Source organism: Homo sapiens, chromosome 17, assembly GCF_000001405.40.
Source record: "Homo sapiens chromosome 17, GRCh38.p14 Primary Assembly".
Taxonomy (NCBI): domain Eukaryota; kingdom Metazoa; phylum Chordata; class Mammalia; order Primates; family Hominidae; genus Homo; species Homo sapiens.
The window spans coordinates 39,285,862-39,308,686 of NC_000017.11; the positions used below are offsets into that span (position 1 = coordinate 39,285,862).

Here is a 22,825-nt window from a genome sequence, read left to right on the forward strand (position 1 = left end):
GAGTTCGAAGAGATCTATATGCATTTTGCAAATCCAGAAACACCAGAAGCTAATGGCTATCTACCAGACGTAGTCAAACATGAAGAAGAAACGCTCTGCATGTTTTTTCACTTAAATCCCTACTCAAGATAACCTTTTGCATAACACTAATGTAGGAACTGGATTTTTGCAAGGTATACAAAGGATGGACTGGTCTGGTATTGGGCTGAAAAAAGTAAGTTATGTATTAAAGACTTTTTTCTGCTGGTCAAGTTCTCATTTTAATATTTAACAGATCATGGAAAACTTCAAATATAAACAAGAGTAAATAATACAGAGAACCCACATGTACCATCAGTAAACTTCAACATTTATCAATACTGTTTTTCTTTTTGAGACAATCTTGCTCTGTTGCCCAGGCTGGAGAGCAGTGTTGCAATCTAGGCCCACTGCAACCTCCATTTCCGGGTTCAAGCAATTCTCATGCCTCAGCCTCCTAAGTAGCTGGGACCACAGACACACACCACCACACCTAGCTAATTTTTCATATTGTTTGTAGAGATGGGGTTTTGCCATGTTAGCCAGGCTGGTCTCCAACTCCGGGCCTCAAGTGTTCCGCGTGCCTCAGCCTCCCAAACTGCTGGGATTACAAGTGTGAGCCACTGTGCCTGGCCCAACATTTATCAATATTCTACTATTAAATATTTTTATTTCTTGGGAGGCTGAGGTGGGTGGATCACCTGAGGTCAGGAGTTCTAGACCAGCCTGACCAACATTGTGAAACCCTGTCTCTACTAAAAATACAAAATTAGCTGAGCGTGGTGGCACATGCCTGTAATCCCAGCTACTTGGAAGGCTGAGGCAGAAGAATGGCTTGAGCCCAGGAGGCGGAGGTTGCAGCGAGCCAAGATTGCACCATTGCACTCCAGCCTGGGCAACAAGAGTGAAACTCTGTCTCAAAAAAAAAATTTTTTTTATGCCATCTCTTCTTCCCCCCTTTTTTATTCCAGGATTTTAAAGCCAATTCCACACATATCATTTTACCTGTAAATATTTCAGTATCTATTTCTTTTTTTTTTTTTTTTTTTTGAGACAGAGTCTTGTTCTTGTCGCTCAGGCTGGTGTGCAGTGGCACGATCTTGGCTCAATGCAACCTCCGCCTCCTGGGTTCAAGCAATTCTCTTGCCTCAGCCACCCAAGTAGCTGGGATTACAGGCGCCTGCCACCATGCCCAGCTAATTTTTCTATTTTTAGTAGAGACGGGTTTTCACCATGTTGGCCAGGCTGGTCTTGAACTCCTGACCTTGTGATCTGCCCGCCTCGGCCTCCCAAAGTGCTGAAATTACAGGCATGAGCCACCACGCCCGGCCTTGGTATCTATTTCTAATAGGTAAATACTTTAATTTATTAATATCATCTGATACTGAAATGTGCTAACTTTTCTCCAATTATATCATAAATGTTTTTGACAAGTTGATTTGTTCAAATTAGGATCCAAACAAGAGTCACACATTCTCTTTGGCTGATATGTCTCCTAGGTCTTTGTGTGGGCCAATGTTTTCATTTCCTTTTTCTTTTTTTGTTACAGACAGGGTCTCACTCTGTCACCCTGGCTGGAATGCAGTGGCACTATCATAACTCAATGTAACCTCCAACTCCTGGGCTCAAGCGATCTCCCACTTCAGCCTCCTGAGTAGCAAGGACTACAGATACATGCCATCACACCTAATTAAAAAAATTTTTTTGTAGAGACAGGGTCTAACTATGATGCCCAAGCTAGTCTCGAACTTTTGGCCTCAAGTGATCCTCTTGCCTTGGCCTTCCAGAGTGCTGGGATTACAAGCATGATCCACCACACCCGGCTTGTTTTCATTTCTTTTGGGTAGAGTCCTAGGAATGAAATTGCTAGATCCTATGGCAAGGTTATGTTTGACTTTGAAGAGAACTGCCAAACTGTTTCCCAAATTGGCCGTACCATTTTACATTCCCGCCAGAAATTCATGAGGGACCCAGTTTTTCCAAATCCTTGTCAACACTTGGCATTGTCTCTCTTTTTGAATACAGCTATCTTAGTGTGTATGGTGTGGAATTGCATTGTGGTTTTACTTTACAATTCTGTAATGAAAACTTTTTTTTTTTTTTTTTTTGAGATGGACTCTGTCACCCGGGCTGGAGTGCAGTGGCATGATCTCAGCTCACTGCAACCTCTGCCTCCCAGGTTCAAGTGATTCTTCTGCCTCAGCCTCCAGAGTAGCTGGGACTACAGGCGCACACCAACACACCCAGCTAATTTTTTTTGTAGTTTTAGTAGAGACGGGGTTTCACCAAGTTAGTCAGGCTGGTCTCAAACTCCTGACCTCAAACGATCCGCCCACCTTGGCCTCCCAAAGTGCTGGGATTGCACACATGGTGAGCCACCGCACCTGGTGTAAATACCTTTTCTTATGCTTATTTGCCATTCCTATGTCTTCGGTGAAATGTCTATCCAAGACTTCAGCCCATTTTTGTTCGTTTAATTGTCTTCTCATTATTAATTCTAAGAGCTTTCTATATACTCTTGAGAGAAGCACTGTTATTAGATATATGACCTGCAAATACTTTCTCCCAGTCTGTGTCCTGTCTTTTCATTTTCTTTCTTTTCTATCTTTTAAATTAGAGTTGGAGTCTTGCCAGAAACACCAGTCAGGCTAGATTTGCTCTTCTGGGCTTAAGTGATCCTCCTGCCTCAGCCTCCCAAGTAGTTGAGACTACAGGTATAGGTCATGGTCCCTGGCCTTTTCCGATTATTATTTTTTTAATTTTTTCCCCCTCAGACAATCAGGTGAAGTGACCTTTTTTGTTTTTTTAAGTTAATGGTATCTTTAGACGCATAATTTTTTTTTTCCTAAGACACAGTCTTGCTTTGTCACCCAGGCTGGAGTGCAGTGGCGCGATCTCGGATCACTGCAACCTCTGCCTCCCAGGTTCAAGCGATTCTCCTGCCTCAGCCTCCAGAGTAGCTGGGAGGCACGTGCCGCCACACTCGGCTAATTTTTTGTATTTTTAGTAGAGACAGGGTTTCACTGTGTTAGTCAGGATGTTTTCAAACTCTTGACCTTGTGATCTGCCCACCTCGGCCTCCCAAAGTGCTGGGATTACAGGCGTGAGCCACCGTGCCTGGCAGAAGCATAAAGGTTTTTAATTTTAATGAGGTACAATTTATCATTTTTTTCTTTATAGCTTGTCTATGTGTGGGCTCCTTTCTAGGCACTTTATTTTAATCCACTGACTGATATGTTTATGCTTATAGCACCAGCACATTGCCCTGATGAACGTTCCTGTAATAATAACCCTTCAAATCAGGTAGTATAAGTCCCCAAACTTCACTGTCCATCAAAATTGATTTCGTTATTCTAGAACCTCTGCATTTGCACATGAATTTAGAATCAGCCTTTCAATTTCAACAAAAAAACCTATTGGGATTTTTTATTGGAACTGCACTGAATCTGTAGAACAATTTAAGGAAAACAAGTATCTTAACAATATTGAGTTTTTAGGCCAGTCTCAGTGGCTCAGGCCTGTAATCCCAACACTGTGGGAGGCTGAGGCAGGCAGGCTGCTGGAGCCCAGAGTTTGAGACCACCTTGGGCAACATGGTGAAATTATCTCTCTACCCAAAATAGAAAAATTAGCCAGGCATGGTGACACACACCTGTAGTCCCAGCTACTTGGGAGGCTGAGGTGGGAGCCCAGGAGATGGAGGGTGCAGTGAGCTGTGGTTGTGCCACCACTGCATTCCAGCCTGGACGACAGAGAAAGACCCTATCTCAAGAAACAAACAAAAAAAAAACCCAAACTATAACAATACTGAGTTTCTAAATCTATATGTATGAGGCCAGGAGTGGTGACTCACGCCTGTAATCCCAGCACTTTGGGAGGCCGAGGCAGGCAGATCAGTTGAGGCCAGTAGTTCAAGACCAGCCTGGCCAAAATGGTGAAACCCTGCCTCTACTAAAAATACAAACAAAAATTAGCCAGGTTTGGTGGCAAGTGCCTGTAATCCCAGCTACTCAGGAAGCTGAGGCACGAGAATTACTTGAACCTGGGAGGCAGAGGTTGCAGTTAGCTGAGACTGTGCCACTGCACTCCAGCCTGGGCAATAGTGCGAGACTCAGTCTCAAAAAAAAAAAAAAAAAAAAAAAAAAAAAATTCTATGTTTATTTCTCTATCATTTACTTAAGTCTTTTTAAAATTTTCTTTTCTCTAATTTTTGTTAGTGATCATTTTATAATTTTCAGTGTATATGATGACTTACACATTATTTTTAAGTTTATCCTTATATTTTTTATATTTTTGGGTATTACTATAAATGATGTATCTTAAACTTCATTTTCCAATTGCTGATTGCTAGTATACAGAAATAGAATTGAGTTTTTGCAAAGTAGTCATGTATCTCATTACTTTGCTAGAACTCAGTGGATCTAGTAGCTTTGACAGATTCCATGGACTTTCCTATGAATCCAATTATACCATTATGTGAATGCCTTTTATAATCCTTCCTCTATTGCATTAGGCACAACATCCAGTACATGTTGAACAGCTGTGGTAAGACCTGATATCCTTGCCTTGTTCCTGATGTTAGGGAATCTTTGATCTCAGGAAGTCTTTCACCATCAAATATGATGTTGTAAGAGATTTTTCACATATATACTTGATCAGGTTGAAGAAGTTACGTTATCTTATTTGTCCACAAACTTTTTTTTGAGACAGGGCTTCAGTCTTTCACCCAGGCTGAAGTGCAGTGGCATGATCACAGTTCACTATACCCTCGACCTCCTGGACCCAAGCGATCCTCCCACCTCAGCCTCCGAGTAGATAGGAACACAGGTGTGCGCCACCATGCCCAACTAACCTTTTATTTTTTGTAGAGATGGGGTCCCACTACGTTGCCCAAGCTGGTCTCAAACTCCTGGGTGCAAGCAACCCTCCTGCTTTAGCTTCCCAAAGTGTTGGGATTACAGGCATGAGCCAATGCACTCAGCCTGTGCGTGTTCTTTCTTGACTAATCTAGACAGAGGTTAATCAAGCTTATTCATTTTATTTTGAACAATCAACTTTTACTTTATAAGTCTTCTCCATTCTGTATTTTTTTTTTTTTTTAAGACAGAGTGTCGCTCTGTCGCCCAGGCTGGAGTGCAGTGGCGCGATCTCGGCTCACTGCAAGCTCCGCCTCCCGGGTTCATGCCATTCTCCTGCCTCAGCCTCCAGAGCAGCTGGGACTACAGGAGCCTGCCACCACGCCCGGCTAACTTTTTGTATTTTTAGTAGAGACGGGGTTTCACCATGTTAGCCAGGATGGTCTCCATCTCCTGACCTCGTGATCACCCGCCTCAGCCTCCCAAAGTGCTGGGATTACAGGCACTAGCCACCGCGCCCGGCCACCTATTTTTTATTTCATGGATTTCCAGTATTATTTCCTTCCTTCCTTTGGATTTAATTTACTTTTTTCTATTTTTTTCTTCCTTTTTGGTAGGTAGGGAGGGAGGGAGGAGAGAGGAGAGACTCTTTTCTAGCTCTCTAAGCAGATTAGATTCTTGATTTTAAAACTTTTCTTTTTTTTTTTTTTTTTTTTGAGATGGAGTCTCATTCTGTCACCCAGGGTGGAGTACAGTGGCACAATCTCAGCTCACTGCAACCTCTGCCTCCTGGGTTCAAGCGATTCTCCTGCCTCAGTCTCCCAAGTATCTGGGACCACAGACATGCATCACCACGCCAGGCTAATTTTTCGAATTTTTAGTAGAGACGGGGTTTTGTCATGTTGGCCAGGCTGTTCTTGAACTCCTGATCTCAAGTGATCCACCTGCGTCGGCCTCCCAAAGTACTGGGATTACAGGTGTGAGGCACTGTGCCCGGCCAAACTTTTCTTCTCTAATATTAGCATTTGATGCTATACATTTTGCTCTAAGCAATACCTTAGGCGCATTCCACAAATTTACAAAGTTATATTCTCATTATCACTCAATGAAGCATATTTTCTAAATTTCTTCGTAAGCAATTCTTTGAACTATGGGTTATTCCAAAGTATGTTATTTAATTTTCTAATCTTCCAGGTATCTGTTATTAATTTCTACTTTAATTTTGTTGAGGTCACAGAACATACCCAATATGATTTTAATCCTTCCAAATGTATTAAAATTTGTTTTATGGCTCATTATTTGGTTTGTCCTATTGAATATTCCAAATGTACTTGAAGAGAATGTTTATTCTGATGCTTTTTGGTGTAGCAATCTATAAATGTCAATTATATCAAGTTCATTGATAGTGTTGCTGAAGTCCTTAATAGCTTTACTGCTTTTTGGCATACTTGTTTTATAAGCCAGGGGTACTATTTAATACCTTTTTTTCATCTAATTTTTTTCCTTAAATTTACGCCATCTGATATTACTGTCCACTCCAACTTTCCCAACTAGTATTTATAATAGTATGTATTTTCCCATTCTTTTAGTTTCATTTTTTTAAATTTTTGCACATATTTGTAATTGTTATTTAAAATTTCTTATGTACTTATTTACTTACTTTTTGAAATGTGGTCTTGATAGGTTGCCCAGGCTTGAGTGCAGTGGCTATTAACAGGCATGATCACAGTGCACTGCAGTCTCTAACTCCTGGTCTCAAGTGATCCTCCTGCCTCAGCCTACCAAGTAGCTGGGATTACAGGAGCATACCACCACACCTGGCTTGTAACTGCTATTTTTAAACTCCTTATTGTTCAGTTCTATTTCAGTCACTTCTGGGTCTATTTCTTTTCTTTTCTTTTTTTTGAGAGTTTTTCGCTTGTTGCCCAGGCTGGAGTACAATGACACGATCTCGGCTCACTGCAACCTCTGCCTCTTCCGGGTCTATATTTCTATTGACTGGCTTTTCTTTTGGTTTTGGGTCACATTTTCCCACTGCTTTGCATATGTCTTATAATTTTTTTTTTTTTTTTTGAGACTGAGTCTTGCTCTGTAGCCCAGGCTGGAGTGCAATGGCGTGATCTCAGCTCACTGTGCAACCTCCGCCTCCCAGGTTCAAGCAATTCTCCTGCCTCAGCCTCCTAAGTAGCTGCGATTACAGGCACCCGCCATCATGCCCGGCTAATTTTTGTATTTTTAGTAGAGACGGGGTTTCACCATGCTGGCCAGGCTGGTCTCAAACTCCTGACCTCAGGTGATCCGCCCACCTTGGCCTCCCAAAGTGCTGGGATTACAGGCATGAGCCACTGTGCCTGGCCAACATGTCTTACAATTTTTGATTGAGTGACAGATATTCTGTATGCCACATTGCTGGGTTTCTGGACTTTGATGTCTTCCTTTAAAGAGTGCTGAGCTGTGTTTTGGCAGGCAGTTAAGTTTGTTTTGGATCACTTTTTTTTTTTTTTGAGACGGAGTCTCGCTCTGTCGCCCAGGCTGGAGTGCAGTGGCATGATCTCGGCTCACTGCAACCTCCGCATCCTGGGTTTGAGCAATTCTTCTGCCTCAGCCTTCCAAGTAGCTGAGATTACAGACACATGCTACCACGGCCTGGCTAATTTTTGTATTTTTAGTAGAGATGGGGTTTCACCATGTTGGCCAGGCTGGTCTTGAACTCCTGACTTCAGGTGATCTGCCCACCTCAGCCTCCCAAAGTGCTGAAATTGCAGGCGTGAGCCACCATGCCCGGCCTGATTCTTAAAATAAAATAAATAAAAAAATAAAATATTTAATAGAGCAGGTCTATTTTAGCCCTACCACCAAGGTGTAATCTTTCTGGAGTCTTTATTGAATGTCCCAGGTGTTCAATGAATTTTCTCCATTTTGGGTGGGTGGAACTTCATCCAGCCTTATTAAGCCCTGGAAATTCTTTGGCTTATAGTTTCCCAGTAATTGTTTTTTTCCTCACTAGATCTTCTTTGCCAAACTGTGTGGGGTCTCATCCTGTGCATGCAGAGTTTACTATTCAGCCAAATCTACATAAATTTCTGTAGCCTTTATTTTTTTTTTTTAGTAGCTTCCTCTTTATCAGCCACAAATTTCAGCTACTTTAGCCTCCTTGAATTCTGATCTCTTTCTTTTCAAATCAGCAAAAACTCTGTCCTCTGCTTGGGCTCCCCCTCCCTCTATGGCATTGTCTGAAAAATGCCTCAGTCACAAAGTGAGGATAATCACATGGCTCATTCATTTGCTTCTCAGTCTTGTGCCACAAGTACAACATCCTAAACTGGTCTTCTAGGTTTTGTTTAGTTTTCTAGTTGTTTACAGCAGGAGGGCAGTTATTGTCACTGTGAGAAGGAGAAGTCTACTTGGATTTTTTTTTTTTAAGACATAGGGTCTCACTATGTTGGCCAGGCTAGACTCAAACTCCTGGTCTCAAGTAGTCCTCCTGCCTCAGTCTCCCAATGTGCTGGGATTACAGGTGTGAACCACCACACCTGGCTGCTTCTTTATTATTTTTTTGAGACAGGGTCTTGCTTTGTTGCCCAGGCTGGAGTGCAGTGAAACATAGCTCACTACAACCTCTGGCTCCCAAGCTCCCAAGCCCAAGCAATCCTCCCACCTCAGCCTCCCAAGTAGCTTGGACTACAGGCATATGCCACCATGCCTGGCTAATTTTTTGTATTTTTTTGTAGAGGTGGGGTTTCTCATGTTGCCGAGGTTGGGCTAAAGTAATCCACCCACCTCAGCCTCTCAAAGTGCTGGGATTACAGGAGTGAGCCACAGTCCCCTGCTGCTTCTTTGATTTAAAAAATTTGTATATTTCAAGGCTAATACTGTGTTTAAAATAGTGTATTTTTAAATTCACTAAAATGTGGAAATTTGAATATTGACAACTGGTTATTTGATGATTTTAAGATATTGTTTTTAGAGGAGTGATAAAAGTTAATGCACTTATGGCCAGACACGGTGGCTCACGCCTGTAATCCCAGCACTTTGGGAGGCCGAGGTGGGCAGATCACCTGAGGTCAGGAGATCCTGACCAGCCTGGCCAACATGGTGAAACCCTGTCTCTACTAAAAATACAAAAATTAGTTGGACATGGTGGCATGGGCCTGTAATCCCAGGTACTCAGGAAGCTGGGCTGAGATTGTGCCACTGCACTCCAACCTGGGCAACAGGGCAAGACATCGTCTCAAAACAAAAAAAGTTAATGCACTCATATGAGAGACTTTATTGTTAAAGAGTACATACTGAAATACGGATTAAATAATATGATGTCTAGGACTTTTTTTCAAAATAAGATAAAACAAGAGGGGATAAGTGGGTGGGGTTATCGATGAAACAAGACTGGCTGTAAACTGGTAACAGTTAAAGCTGGGTGATGGGCTCATTACACGTTTTTGTCTACTTCTGTATATGTTTCAAATTTTCATATTTAAAAAAAGTCAGCAGAAGTAATTTCTCTCTGTGTGACTATAACTCCAACTTGGGTTCAAGGGGTTTTTTCTTTGAACCAGAGTCTTGCTCTTTCATCTAGGCTGGAATACAGTAGTGTGATCTCAGCTCACTGCAACCTCCACCTCCTGGGTTCAAGCGATTCTCATGCCTCAGCCTCCCAAGTAGCTGGGATGTGCCACCATGCCTGGCTAATTTTTGCTTTTAGTAGAGATGGGGTTTCACCATGTTGGCCAGGCTGGCTTGAACCCCTGACCTCAAGTTATCCACCCACCTCAGCCTCCCAAGGTGCTAGGATTATAGACCTGAGTCACCGCACTGGGCTGGTTCATGTGTTTTTAATTTGTAGGGATTGCTTTCATTTCTTTTTGACTTAATTTTTGTTTGAATTATGTAAAATATTTACATGGCTATTAAACGATAAAACATAATTCAGAGTTCTCCCTTTTATCTCTTTCCCTTGTGTTTTCTCACTTCCCCATATAAGTAACTATTTTTACTTATTTTATTTTTGATTGGCATTTCCATTCTTTTTGAAAATATGCAAATATGGAGATATATATATATATATATATATTAAGTCTTCTGGCCCTATAAAAGGTGTATTATACAAACTCCTCCGCAGTTTGCTTTTCTTCATTTAACAACATGTCCTGAAGATCATCCAGAGTATTATATATAGATTTTCCTCATTACTTTTATTCAACCTGTTCTCTACTAATAGACATTGGGGAGTTTCCTATCTTTTGCTATTACAAGTAATGTAGTAGCCTTGCATATACATATTATGTTTTCACCAATGCATCTTGAGGATAAGATAGATTCTGACAAAAAAGTGTTAATTACATGTCACTTTTCTAGATACCAAGTGGTCAAATTCTTATTCTTTATAACACTAAGTACTCAAAGGAAACAAAAATTAAAAGATAATTTATCTAAAGTAAATGTAGTTCTACTGGTATAAAGTAATGGTGGGGGAAGAGGTTAGTATATTTCATCTCTCACAGTAAACGTTTCCAAATCAATCTATAGGAATACTTATTAGCAGAGGCCAGGCGCGGTGGCTCATGCCTGTAATCCCAGCACTTTGGGAGGCCGAAGTGGGCGGATCACGAGGTCAGGAGATCGAGACCATCCTGGCTAACAAGGTGAAACCCCGTCTCTACTAAAAATACAAAAAATAAGCCGGGCGTGGTGGCACGTGCCTGTAGTCCCAGCTACTCGGGAGGCTGAGGCAGGAGAATTGCTTCAAGCCAGGAGGCAGAGGTTACAGTGAACCAAGGTTGCGCCACTGCAGTCCAGCCTGGGCAACAGAGCGAGACTCTGTCTCAAAAAAAAAAAAAAAAAAAAAAAAGAAATACTTATTAGTAGAGTTAATGAATAACTACCCTCTAGGTCTAATTTCTGTGACTGTAAGCCTCTTGAGGATGAAGAATTAAGCTTAATTTCCTTCAGATCATGACCAACACAGACACAGCACATTTAGTGAATCATTTTCATTTAATAACTGTTCTCAGGACTGATTATCATAAGCTGTTTAGTCCTCTGTTTAAGATTTTAATCTTTTCACTGAATTATGTTTACTGTGGCTTTTAACTGGTAGCTACTAGTATCTAGAAATATAAATAATCCCAGTAATATGTATTATTAGTATCCCTACTGTATGTACACTGACTACAATTATTAAAAGTTTCACCTTAAATTGTATCAAAGATAGAATTCCAAAACAAGTTTCTTATTCTATTTCTACTTTGATGTTGCTTTCTCTTCTAAAAATATCTTTCCTCTACAAAACCAAGATAAAATTTGCTCAATAGAGTTAATGGCCTGAATTTAAGGTTGTATCAGCCAGACATAAGGGGTTATGACTTATCCTCCAAAAACATAAAATACTTACGCGTCTGTTGTCTTTGTACACCCATTTAGATTCAGTACTTCAATGTTCCTGCAGTTTTGTGCAAAGGTTCTTTGTAGGAAAGAAAGTAAGAGGTTTCAAATGAAATAGGCCAAATTCCAGTCATTAAAAAAGTAATAAAATATATTATTATTGGTAATATTGATTGTTGATATCTGTGATACTGTGATATAAAGGAAAAACATGTATTTGGTCTTCATCTTCGGTTCTTGGCATACCATCCCTAAAATCTTTGTAATTTCCTGAGTGATAGTATCTTTTGTTACAGGTTGGTGAGAAGTAATCGCGGTTTTTGCCATTACTGCTCATGGCAAAAACTGTGATTACTTTTGCACCAACCTAATATAATATTTGGTCTTCAATTATGTCTACGATCAAGGAAACTCTGTAAAAACCCCTAAATGATAGGGATCAGAGAGCTTCTGGGTTGGTGAATGTAACCACGTGCCAGGAAGGTAGTACACCCCAACTCCACAGGACAGAAGCTCCTGTGCCTGGGACCCTTCTAGACTCTGCCTTATACACCTCTTCATATTCCTTCTACCTCAGCCTCCCTAAATGCTGTGATTACAGGTGTGAGCCATTAAGCCTGGCCATGATTTTTCTTTTGAGATGGAATCTCTCTCTGTCACCCAGGCTGGAGTATAGTGGTGTGATCTCAGCTCACTGCAGCCTCCACCTCCCAGGTTCAAGTGATTCTCCTGCCTCAGCCTCCTGAGTAGCTGGAATTACAGGCACGCACCACCATGCCCAACTAAGTTTTTGTATTTTTAGTAGAGACAGGGTTTCACCATGTTGGTCAGGCTGGTCTTGAACGCCTGACCTCAAGTGATCCACCCACATCAGCCTTTCAAAGTGCTGAGATTACAGGCTTGGGCTATCACACCTGGCTTAAATGAATTTTCCATTATAAATTCTTCAAACATAACTTTAAAAATTATTTTAAATTAAAAAAATAAATGATTGCTTATTTATTTATTTATTTTTAGAGACAGGGTCTTCCTCTGTCACTCAGGCTGGAGTACAGTGGTACAATCACAGCTCACTGTAGCCTCAACCTCCCAGGCTCAAGTGATCCTCCTACTTCACTCAGTATCCCAAGTAGCTGGGTTTACAGGCATATGTCACCTAACCTGGCTAATTAAAAAAAGTTTTTTGTAGAGATGGGAGCCTTGCCATGCTGCCTAGATTGGTCTTGTACTCCTGGCCTCAAGTAATCCTCCCACCTAGCCTCCCAAAGTCCTGGGGTCACTGCCCAGGTTAGGGTTAACCATAACCCTAAAAAAGAACTAAGCTGGGTGCAGTGGCTCATGCCCGTAATTCCAGCACTTTGGGAGGCTGAGGCAAGAGGACTGCTTGAGTGCAAGAGTTCGAGACCAGCCTGGACAACAAAATGAGACCCTGACTCTATAAAAAAATTTTAAAACTTAGCCAGGCGTGGTGGTACACGTCTTCAGTCACAGCTACTCAGGAGAGGGAGGATTGCTTGAGTCCAGGAGTTCAAGACTATAGTGAGCCATGATTATGCCAGGGCACTCCAGCCTGGGTGATAGTGTGAGACCTTGTCTCAAAACATAAAATAAAAATATTAATTAATTTAAAAAAAACTTATTCAAAGCTCCAAAAGAACCACTTATGATGGGGAATCTGGGTTTTTTTCAGGCAGTACTTGTTCTTGTTTACTGTTAAAACTACATTTCTTATTACTGGATATTTTCAGATTATAAGCAATGTGTGGTTGCATTTTTAATAACTTAGGAATTTTAACGATTTTAGCCTTTTCTGGGTGAGATGGTGCTGCTCTTCACTTCCATCAAGAAGATTAATCAATAGTTATGTTTTTACCTTAATGCATTGTCTCCCACTCCAAGACATCCACGAAGACTTAACTTTCGTAAAAAGCCCCCACATCGTTTTGAAATATTCTCCACTACTCGGCCCTGTAAAATGAGACAGGCAAACAAAAAGATAACCCACCTCATTACTTTAGAAAAGAACACATACTCATTTTTAACGATTTATAAACAAAGAGAAAATGCTTCTATTATGACCTAATTTAATAGGAAAATTGTAACTTACCCTGAGAAAGCTTTCCTGATTAACCCCTATCATTTGCATCATGCCTAAACCCCATATTCTTATTTTGTTTAACTTGTAAAATATATTCTGTACTTGAGAAAATAATGTTCTATAGTTCTCTTTGGCATTATATGCATATATACTGCCTAGCTGGGTTAAGCTGCAGCTACTGAAAGACAGCAACTACATTATTTTTTTGTATCTTTTCCAAAATGTTTATTATAGTACTCTGCTTATAGTAGAGACTCAATGAACATTTAACAAAAGCTGGTCAGGGGCCAGGCACGGTGGCCCACGCCTGTAATCCCAGCACTTTGGGAGGCCGAGGCGGGTGGATCACGAGGTCAGGAGATCAACACCATCCTGGCTAACACGGTGAAACCCCATCTCTACTAAAAATACAAAAAACTAGCCGGGCGTGATGGTGGGTGCCTGTAGTCCCAGCTACTCGGGAGGCTGAGGCAGGAGAATGGCGTGAACCCAGGAGACGGAGCTTGTAGTGAGCCCAGGTCTTGCTCCACTGCACTCCAGCCTGGGCGACAAAGCGAGACTCTGTCTCAAAACAACAACAACAACAACAAAAACAAAAGCTGGCCAGGTGCAGTGGATTCCGCCTATAATCCCAGCACTTTGGGAGGCTGAGGCAGGCAATCATTTGAGGTCAGGAGTTCGATACAAGCCTGGCCAACATGGTGAAACCCAATCTCTACTAAAAATACAAAAATTAGCCGGGCATGGTGGCTCACACCCGTAGTCCCAGCTACTTGGGAGGCTGAGGCACAAGAATTGCTTGAACCCAGGAGGCAGAGGTTGCAGTGAGCTGAGACCGCACCACTGCACTCCAGCCTGGGTGACAAAATGAGACTCTGTCTCGAAAACAAACAAAAACAAAAGCTTGCTGAATAATTCTGTGGGCGGTGTTGCTTTAAATATTTACATCCATGAAGGGTATAGAATTGTGAAAAACAAAATCCCATATAATGCCAGTGGATATTATTTTAAAAGCACTTTGGTTGGTTTTGAACTCCTGACCTCAGGTGATCCGCCCACCTTGGCCTCCCAAAGTGCTGAGATTACAGGTGTAAGCCATCCCACGTGCCCTCAAAAAACCTCATTTAATCCTTAAGAAGCCATGAAGAAGCTATTTATTTCTACCTTCCTGATGAGAAGGATAAGAAAAACAGGAGTTCAAATTCAGTTTAAAATAATTTAAGTGTAAGCCATTCTCCATTTTATAGATAATAGGCTATACTAGGAGATAAAACATGGGGCAAAAAGTGAGAGGAGGAAAAAACTTCTCTCTCTAGCAAAAACGATTCAATAAATGGCTTTGGCCTCATTCAACCTTCGTTCTCCACAAGAAATTGGCTCCTCAAGAACCAAAACACATATCTCAAAAAAATATATACGAACGCCATCCCAACAAGTTATAACTCTATTTATTCCTCAGTAAACAAATATAAAATGTCTTCACTAAAATAAACATAGATTCAATGTTTCCACTGCAAAAACAAACTTTTAGTCCTATTTCAAGACCAAAGAGTCCTATTTAGTCCTAGTAATACTAAGTAATTGTATTATTTCAGTGAAATAATCTGGCTCATTCTCAAAAACTGCAGAAACCCTTGGTAACTTTGGGGGTTCCTGTAAAGTTCAGATGCACTGAAAATAATAGTTCCTCTCTTTAACGAAAATGAGATTAATATGGCTAGGGCTAATCTGTTCCATGCTGTAATTACTAACATGAAAACTGGGGCCACACACCACATAATTATACCTCAATATCCCTCTGGAAATCAAATAGGTCAATTCGCTGCCAGTTACTGCCATCCAGAGCCAGAACATTCCAGGCCTATTTTAAAGAAAAAGAGACAGAATGAGCAGAAGCTAAAATTAAGGGGAAAAGGCAGCAATATTCAAGTTCACAATTCAACCAACTAATGACTAAAATGGATCCAAAAATTTATCAGGCCCTATCCACTTACTCCCAAATGATGTGTCTTACTCCTGACCCATATTGTATTCTCCAATTAGATAATCTCATAAACGAGTGGGTACTAGAAACTAGCAGCTACAAAAGATCTTAGGCCAGGCATGGTGACTCAAATTTATAATCCCATCACTTGGGAGGTCAAGGTGGAAGGATCACTTGAGCCCAGGAGTTCCAGACCAGCCTGGGCAATATAGCCAGACCCGATCCCTATAAAAAAATTTAAAAACTTGGTCGGGCATGGTGGCTCACGTCTGTAATCCCAGCACTTTAGGAGGCCGAGGCAGGCGGATCACCTGAGGTCAAGAGTTCGAGACCAGCCTGGCCAACATGGTGAAACCCCGTCTCTACTAAAAATACAAAAATTAGCCGGGTGTGGTGGCACGTGCCTGTAATCTCAGCTACTCAGGAAGCTAAGGCAGGACAATCACTTGAACCTGGGAGGCGGAGGTTGCAGTGAGCCAAGATTGTGCCACTGCACTCCAGCCTGGGCGACAGAGCGAAACTTCATCTGGGGGGGAAAAATTAAAAAAATTAGTCGGGCATGGTGGCACACAACTGTAGTCCCAGCTATTCGGGAGGCTGAGGTGGGAGGTGAGCCAGGAGGTAAGGGCTGCAGTGAGCCATGATCTCACCATTGTACTCCAGCCTGGGTGACACAGCAAGACCTTAGCAAAAAAACAAAAAACAAGACTAACCCTCCCTCCCCCCGCCCACGCACACTTAAATTAGAGAAGTTAAGGAAAGGGCAAGTTGTGATAAGTATCATAGCCAGAAGGTATTTTCTAACTGGAAAATTCTAGTTTCTAATCCCAAAATGAGACAAAAGTTCAGTTTATGAAAAGCAAGTCTTTCTTCTATGCTTAAAAATATGATCCTTAAAAAAAATCCTTCTATCTGGAAAAATATGAAGGTAAAACCAAACATCAAAGGGGACAGTACTCTGAATATTGCTCTATTCTCACTCTCTTTTTCTATATATAGAGTATATATATAGAGAAATATATGTATTTCTTGAGACACGGTGTCACTGTCACCTGGGATGGAGTGCAGTGGCTCAATCATGGGTCACTTGCAGCCTTGACCTCCCCGACTCAAGCAATCCTCTCACCTCAGCCTCCCAAGTAGCTGGAACCACAGGCATGCACCACCGCATTTGGCTTTTTTTTTTTTTTTTTGAGACGGAGTCTCGTTCTGTCGCCCAGGCTGGAGTGCAGTGGTGCAATCTTGGCTCACTGCAAGCTCCACCTCCCGGGTTCACGCCATTCTCCTGCCTCAGCCTCCCGAGTAGCTGGGACTACAGGCATCCGCCTCCATGCCTGGCTAATTTTTTGTATTTTTAGTAGAGATGGGGTTTCACTGTGTTAGCCAGGAGGGTCTCTATCTCCCAACCTCATGATCTGCCCGCCTGGGCCTCCCAAAGTGCTGGGATTACAGGCGTGAGCCACTGCACGCAGCCCTAATTTTTTAAATTTTCTGTAGAGATAGGGCTCCCTATGTTGCCCAGGTTAGTCTTGAACTCCTGGCCTCAAGCAATCCTCCCATCTTGGCCTCCCAAAATGAAGGGATTATAGGTGTGAACCACCAGGCCCAGCCTTAGTTCAGTACTTCTTTGCTATCTATATCCTATCAGGTGGTAGGACTTACAACTGTGATATAGTGATTTGGGACTTAGAAAAGATACTATCATTGCTCTGAAACTATTTTTTTTTTTTTGAGACAGAGTCTCGCTCTGTCGCCCAGGGTAGAGTGCAGTGGTGTGATCTCGGCTCACTGCAAGCTCCGATTCTGCATTAACTGTGAATCTTACTAACTAGAATTACTGGTGAAGCAAACTTATCCATCGAGACTATCTGGTATGTGTTACGCATGTATTCTGTTGGTGCTGGAAGATGTCTGTGTGCCTGCATCAACATGTGACTTCATGTAAAGTTTCTTCATGTTCACAGTTCTTAGCAAATGCAGTTTCAATCCATAGATAGCCAGCAGTGGATGTTACTACAGGAAAATGCAAGATTAAAATTGTCCTTGTGTAAAAAAAAAAAATGAACTAGGAAAACATAATAAAACAAGATTTCATCACAATTTTGAGTCAAGTCTAAACTTTTAATATGCATGTTTATTGCTTTTTCATCGAAAATGTTTCCTGTTTATATTACACAAATAAGAGATACAAAAAGTCAGAGACAGTATATATAGTAGAATCCCATCATAAATTTACATGGGTTTGGGTATGTCATTGGTGAAATAATCTCCTTTAAAACATGAAAACATACAAGTAACACCTAAAATAAATGGATGGCCTATGAAAGAGGCTGTTATCATCAGTATGAAGAAGGGGTCCCCCTGTAACTATGCCAACAATACTTACCCTGGAGACCTGAGCACAGCGGCACAGGGTAACAACATCTAGAAAAGAAAATATCCTAAAAAGAAAAGAGAGAAAGACAAATTTTATTGTATGATAAAGTAGTTGACCTTTATTTATTTTGAGACAGGGTCTCACTCTGTCAGCCAAGCTGGAGAGCAGTGGCATAATCACTGCTCGCCCCAGCCTTGACTTCCTGGGGTCAGGTGATCCTCCCACGTCAAGCTCCTGAGTAGCTAGGACTAGAGATGCGTGCCACCATACCTGGCTACTTTTTAATTTTTTGTAGAAACGGGGTTTCACCATGTTGCCCAGGCTGGTCTCGAACTCTTGGGCTCAAGCAATTGGCCTCCCAAATTGCTAGGATTACAGGTGTGAACTATTGCACCTGGTCAGTATGATAAAGTAGTTGCTCTTGATTTTAGCATAGAAATAACAGACTACATGTATATACACACACAAACACAAAGGCAGTTCTTTAGAAGAAACACACAAAATGCTTGAGCAATCTGTGAAGATAATACTGCCCATATAAAACACAGTGGGAAAAAATGTTTTACTTGATAATGTACATACAGATGCTGACCAAGTTCAATTACCTACACCAAAGGATAATAAATAATCTCTAGCTGGTTTTTTTAAAGTAAAAAAAAAAAAATTCCCACCTAAAATTATCAAAAGAAAGAAGCCAGGGGAAGGATCTTTTTTTGTTTTGTCTTGTCTGAAGACAGGGTTTCACTCTGTCACGCAGGCTTGAGTGCAGTGGCACAATCACAGCTCAATGCAACCTTGACCTCCTGGACCCAAGCAATCCTCCCACCTCAGCCTCCTGAGTAGCTGGGATAACAGGCACATGCCACAAAGCCTGGCTAATTTTTTAATTTTTTTGTAGAGATGAGGGTCTCCCTATGTTGCACAGGCTGGTTTTGAACTGCTGAGCTCAAGCAATCCTCCTGCCTCAGACTACCAAAGTGCTAGGACTGCATGTATGAGCCAACATGCTTGGATGGGAAGGATTTTTTTATTTGAAACAAGGTCTTGCTCCTGTCACCCAGGTTGGAATGCAGTGGTGCAGTCATCATTCACTCCAGCCTCAATCACCCAGGCTCAGGTGATTCTCCCACCTCAGCCTCCCAAATAGCTGGGACTAAAGGCGCATGCCACCATGCTCAGCTAATTTTTTTTTGTTGTTGTTGTTCTTTTTGTTTGTTTGTTTTTTTGAGAGAGACTCACCCGGCTGTCCAGGCTGGAGTGCAGTGGCATGATCTCGGTTCAAGTGGTTGTCGTGCCTCAGCCTACCAACTAGCTGGGATTACAGGCATCCACTACCACGCCCGGGTAATTTTTGTGTTTTTAGTAGAGATGGGGTTTCACCGTGTTGGGCAGGCTGGTCTCAAACTCCTGATGTCAGGTTATCCGCCCTGTCTCAGCCTCCCAAAGTGCTGGGATTACAGGCGTGAGCCACCACACCCAGCCCCTGCTGGGAAGGATCTTAATGAAGTATTTTACAGTTATGAAGAAAAAAAGATAATTTAATAAAGCCTAAAAAACAGCAATGAAAAATGTTAAATGTCTAGAAAAAAAAACCCAGAAACAAAATATAAATTAAAAAAAGTTAGATCTCTACATATTTCATTCTAATTTAATAAATTACAAGACTCCTTTAACACAGCAATGTTAGAAAATATTTACTGTCTAGAATTTTTCTCAGCCTTATAGAAGGCAAATAAGTATTTATTTTGAAGTAGACCAATAAGTTATTTGCTGAAAGCCTGATAAACCACACCATAAGCTACCTGTGCAAATAGTTCAGGGAATCCTGGAAATAAAAGTGAATGGGAGATCAGGCAAGGTGGCTCATGCCTATAATCCCACCTCTTTGGGAGGCTGAAGTGGAAAGACTGCTAGAGGCCAGGAGTTCAAGACCAGCCTGGGCAACACAGTGAGGCTCCCTATTTTAAAAAAGAAAAGAAAAAACATAGCTTTGGCTAGGCATGATGGCTAAAACCTGTAATTCCACCATTTTGGGATGTGAGGGCAGGAGGATAACTTGAGGCCAAGAGTTTGAGAACAGCCTGGAAAATACAGTGAGACCCTGTCTCTACAAAAATTTTAAAAATTAAGCCGGGAACAGTGGCTCACGACTGTAATCCCAGCATTTTGGGAGGCTGAGGTGGGTGGGTCATCTGAGGTCAGGAGTTCGAGACCAGCCTGACAAACATGGTGAAACCCCGTTTCTACTAAAAATACAAAATTAGCCAGGCGTGGTGGTGGGGGCGCTTGTAATCCCAGCTACTCGGGAGGCTGAGACAGAAGAATCGCTTGAACCTGGGAGGTGGAGGTTGCAGTGAGCCGAGATGGTGCCATTGTACTCCAGCCTGGGAGACAAGAGTGAGACTGTGTCTCAAAAAACAAACAAACAAAAAAAAACAAAGTAGCCAGGCATGCTGGTATATGCCTGTAGTTCCAGCTACTTGGGAAGCTGATGTAGGAGGATCTATTGTGTTCAGTTTGAGGCTGCAGTAAGCTACAATCACAGCACTGTACTCCAGCCTGGGTGATAGAGTGAGTTCTTTTTTTTTTTTTTAAGACGGAGTTTTGCTCTGTCGCCCAGGCTGGAGTGCAGTGGCACCATCTCGGCTCACTGCAACCTCAGCCTCTTGGGGTCACGTGATTCGCCTGTCTCAGCCTTCCGAGTAGCTGGGATTACAGGCATCCCACCACCACACGCCAGGCTTTAAAACAAGTTTTAAATTTTGATGTAATCCACTTTATCTATTTTTTCTTTCATTTCCTGAACTTTTGGTGTCAAATCCAAGAAATCACTGCTAAACTCAATGTCATGAAGTTTTTCTCCTGTTTTCTTCCAAAGATTTTATAATTTTAGTTCTTAGATATAGGTCTTTGCAAGACCATTTATTGAAAAGACTGTACTTTTCCCCACTGAATGGTCCTGGCATTTTTGACAAAAATCATTTGACCATATATGTGAAGGTTTATTTCTGAGCTCTCTATTCTATTCCATTGGTCTATGTCTGCTTTATGCCAGTATCACACTATTTTAAATATTTTCAGTTTTGAAGCAGAAAGTGCTTTTGGTGATTGAAATATTTGCATGATGTCAGAAAAACTATTAATAGCAACTGAACTGGTTTCAAGAATCTTCCCTTAGGTTTTCTTACACATTTACTTCCTCTAACAGATTTCTGATATTTTGATTTTTCTCCAACTGTAGAGGCCCATGTAAGGGACTGTTTAAAACTGATAATAAATTAAATAAGCTGGGAGGGTTAAGCAAGGAGCAACACGGAAAGCAAATATAACTGATCTATATCCTGCAATCTCAGCAAGACACCAGCAAGGGACAGGAAAATCCCTGAATAAAAGCCCAGAGACCAATTATAGTGAATAATGTCTAGAGAATCTGCCTTCTCTAAGGAGAACCGGATAGGTGGATACAAAAGGGGGAAACATCTAGTTAAAATGATGAGCAGTATCTGAAGCTGTGGTTATAATTTTTCAGCTTGCCTGAAAGGAAAGAAAAACATTCTGATTTGGAGGGTGGTGAGTTTCATTCAAAAAACATTTTTACCACCTGCTATCTACGGGCACTGTTTTAAGTCCCTACTGTTGAGTAACTCACGGCATAGGGGCTGGAGGTAGATAAAAAATAAGTAAAATATATGAGAAAATTTCAATTAGTGATGAGTACTATAAAAAACATAAAGCTGAGTAATGTGATAGAAGGGTGGTCAAGGAAAGCCTCCCCTAGGAGTAGGTATTTGATTTAAGATCTAAATGATCAAAGGAAACAGATTGCCAAGATCTGGGGAGAAGAGCATTCCAGTAGACGAAATAGTGGGTGTATGACAAACGAATGTTTGAAGATCAGAATAGACAGTGAAGCTGGACTGCAGCAGCAGCACAACCCTATACTGAGTTCTTAATTATGTACCAGGTATCATTCTAAGTGTGTAAATTTACATACTAATCCAATGACTCCTTAAAACAATTCTATAAGATAGGTACTATTAGCATTCCCATCTTATAGATGAGGATATTGAACAAACTTCTGTTAGTCAAGGGCCAGAATATGTTAAAAAAAAGACTGGGCGCAGTGGCTCACACCTGTAATCCCCAGCACTTTGGGAGGCCGAGGCGGGTGGATCACCTGAGGTCAGGATTCCAAGACTAGCCTGGCCAACATGGTGAAACTCTGTCTCTACTAATAATACAAAAACTAGCTGGGTGTGGTGGCAAGTGCCTGTAATCCTAGCTACTTGGGAGGCTGAGGCAGGAGAATCGCTACAACTTGGGAGGCAGAGGTTGCAGTAAGCTGAGATGGCTCCACTGCACTCCAACCTGGGCAACAGAGCAAGACATCATTTCAAAAAAAAAAAAAAAAAAATTTAAAAGACTTTGTGGACATAGTAAATGATTTCAACTGTATTCTAAGTCTAGGGGAAGCCAGGCCAGGCATGGTGGCTCACACCTATATATAATCCTAGCACTCTGGGAGGCCAAGGCAGGTGGAGGATCACTTGCGGCCAAAAGTTTGATCTTTTTTTTTTTTTTTCCTAAAGACAGGGTTTTGCCATGTTGCCCAGGCTGGTCTCGAGCTCCTGGGCTCAGGTGATCTACCCACCTTGGCCTCCCAAAGTGCGGGCATTACAGGCGTGTGTCACCACACCTGGCCCATGGCCAGGAGTTTGAGGCCAGTATGGGCAACACAGTGAGACCCCGACTCTGTAAAAATGAAAAAATTTAGCTGAGGATTGTGGTGCACGCCTGTAGTCCTAGCTATCCAGGGGGCTAAGGAAAGAGGATCACTTGAGCTCAGGAGTAAGTGGCTGTAGGGAACTGTGATCACCCCACTATGCTTTGGCCTGGGCAACAGAGCCAGACTGTCTCTTAAAAAAAGAAAAAAAAATAGGTTTCTATTAGAATGGTGGGAAATAAAAAATCAAAAAAATTTTTAATACAATAATTTTTTTTTTTTTTGAGACGGAGTCTTGCTCTGTCACCCAGGCTGGAGTGCAGTGGCACAATCTTGGTTCCCTGCAAGCTCCCCCTCCCAGATTCATGCCATTCTCCTGCCTCAGCCT

At 41.7% G+C, this 22,825-nt stretch overlaps 1 protein-coding gene and 1 non-coding gene across 7 annotated transcripts in view; one reads left to right on the forward strand and one right to left on the reverse strand.

Annotated features, from left to right (window-relative positions):
* FBXL20 (F-box and leucine rich repeat protein 20) overlaps nt 1-22,825 on the reverse strand; it is a 149,894-nt gene that overhangs the window by 33,199 nt on the left and 93,870 nt on the right. For all 6 annotated transcript variants that reach the window (XM_047436952.1, NM_001370209.3, NM_001370208.3 and 3 more), the window contains exons 3-6: nt 17,724-17,778; nt 15,140-15,214; nt 13,129-13,223; nt 11,266-11,334 (exon numbers count right to left, since the gene is read on the reverse strand). In XM_047436952.1, the coding sequence (XP_047292908.1) occupies nt 11,266-11,334; nt 13,129-13,223; nt 15,140-15,214; nt 17,724-17,778 (294 nt within the window). The remainder of the gene's footprint in view (nt 1-11,265; nt 11,335-13,128; nt 13,224-15,139; nt 15,215-17,723; nt 17,779-22,825) is intronic.
* Nucleotides 11,539-11,648, forward strand: MIR548BC (microRNA 548BC). The gene has a single exon (NR_162098.1). It is a non-coding gene; the product is annotated as a microRNA 548BC (primary transcript).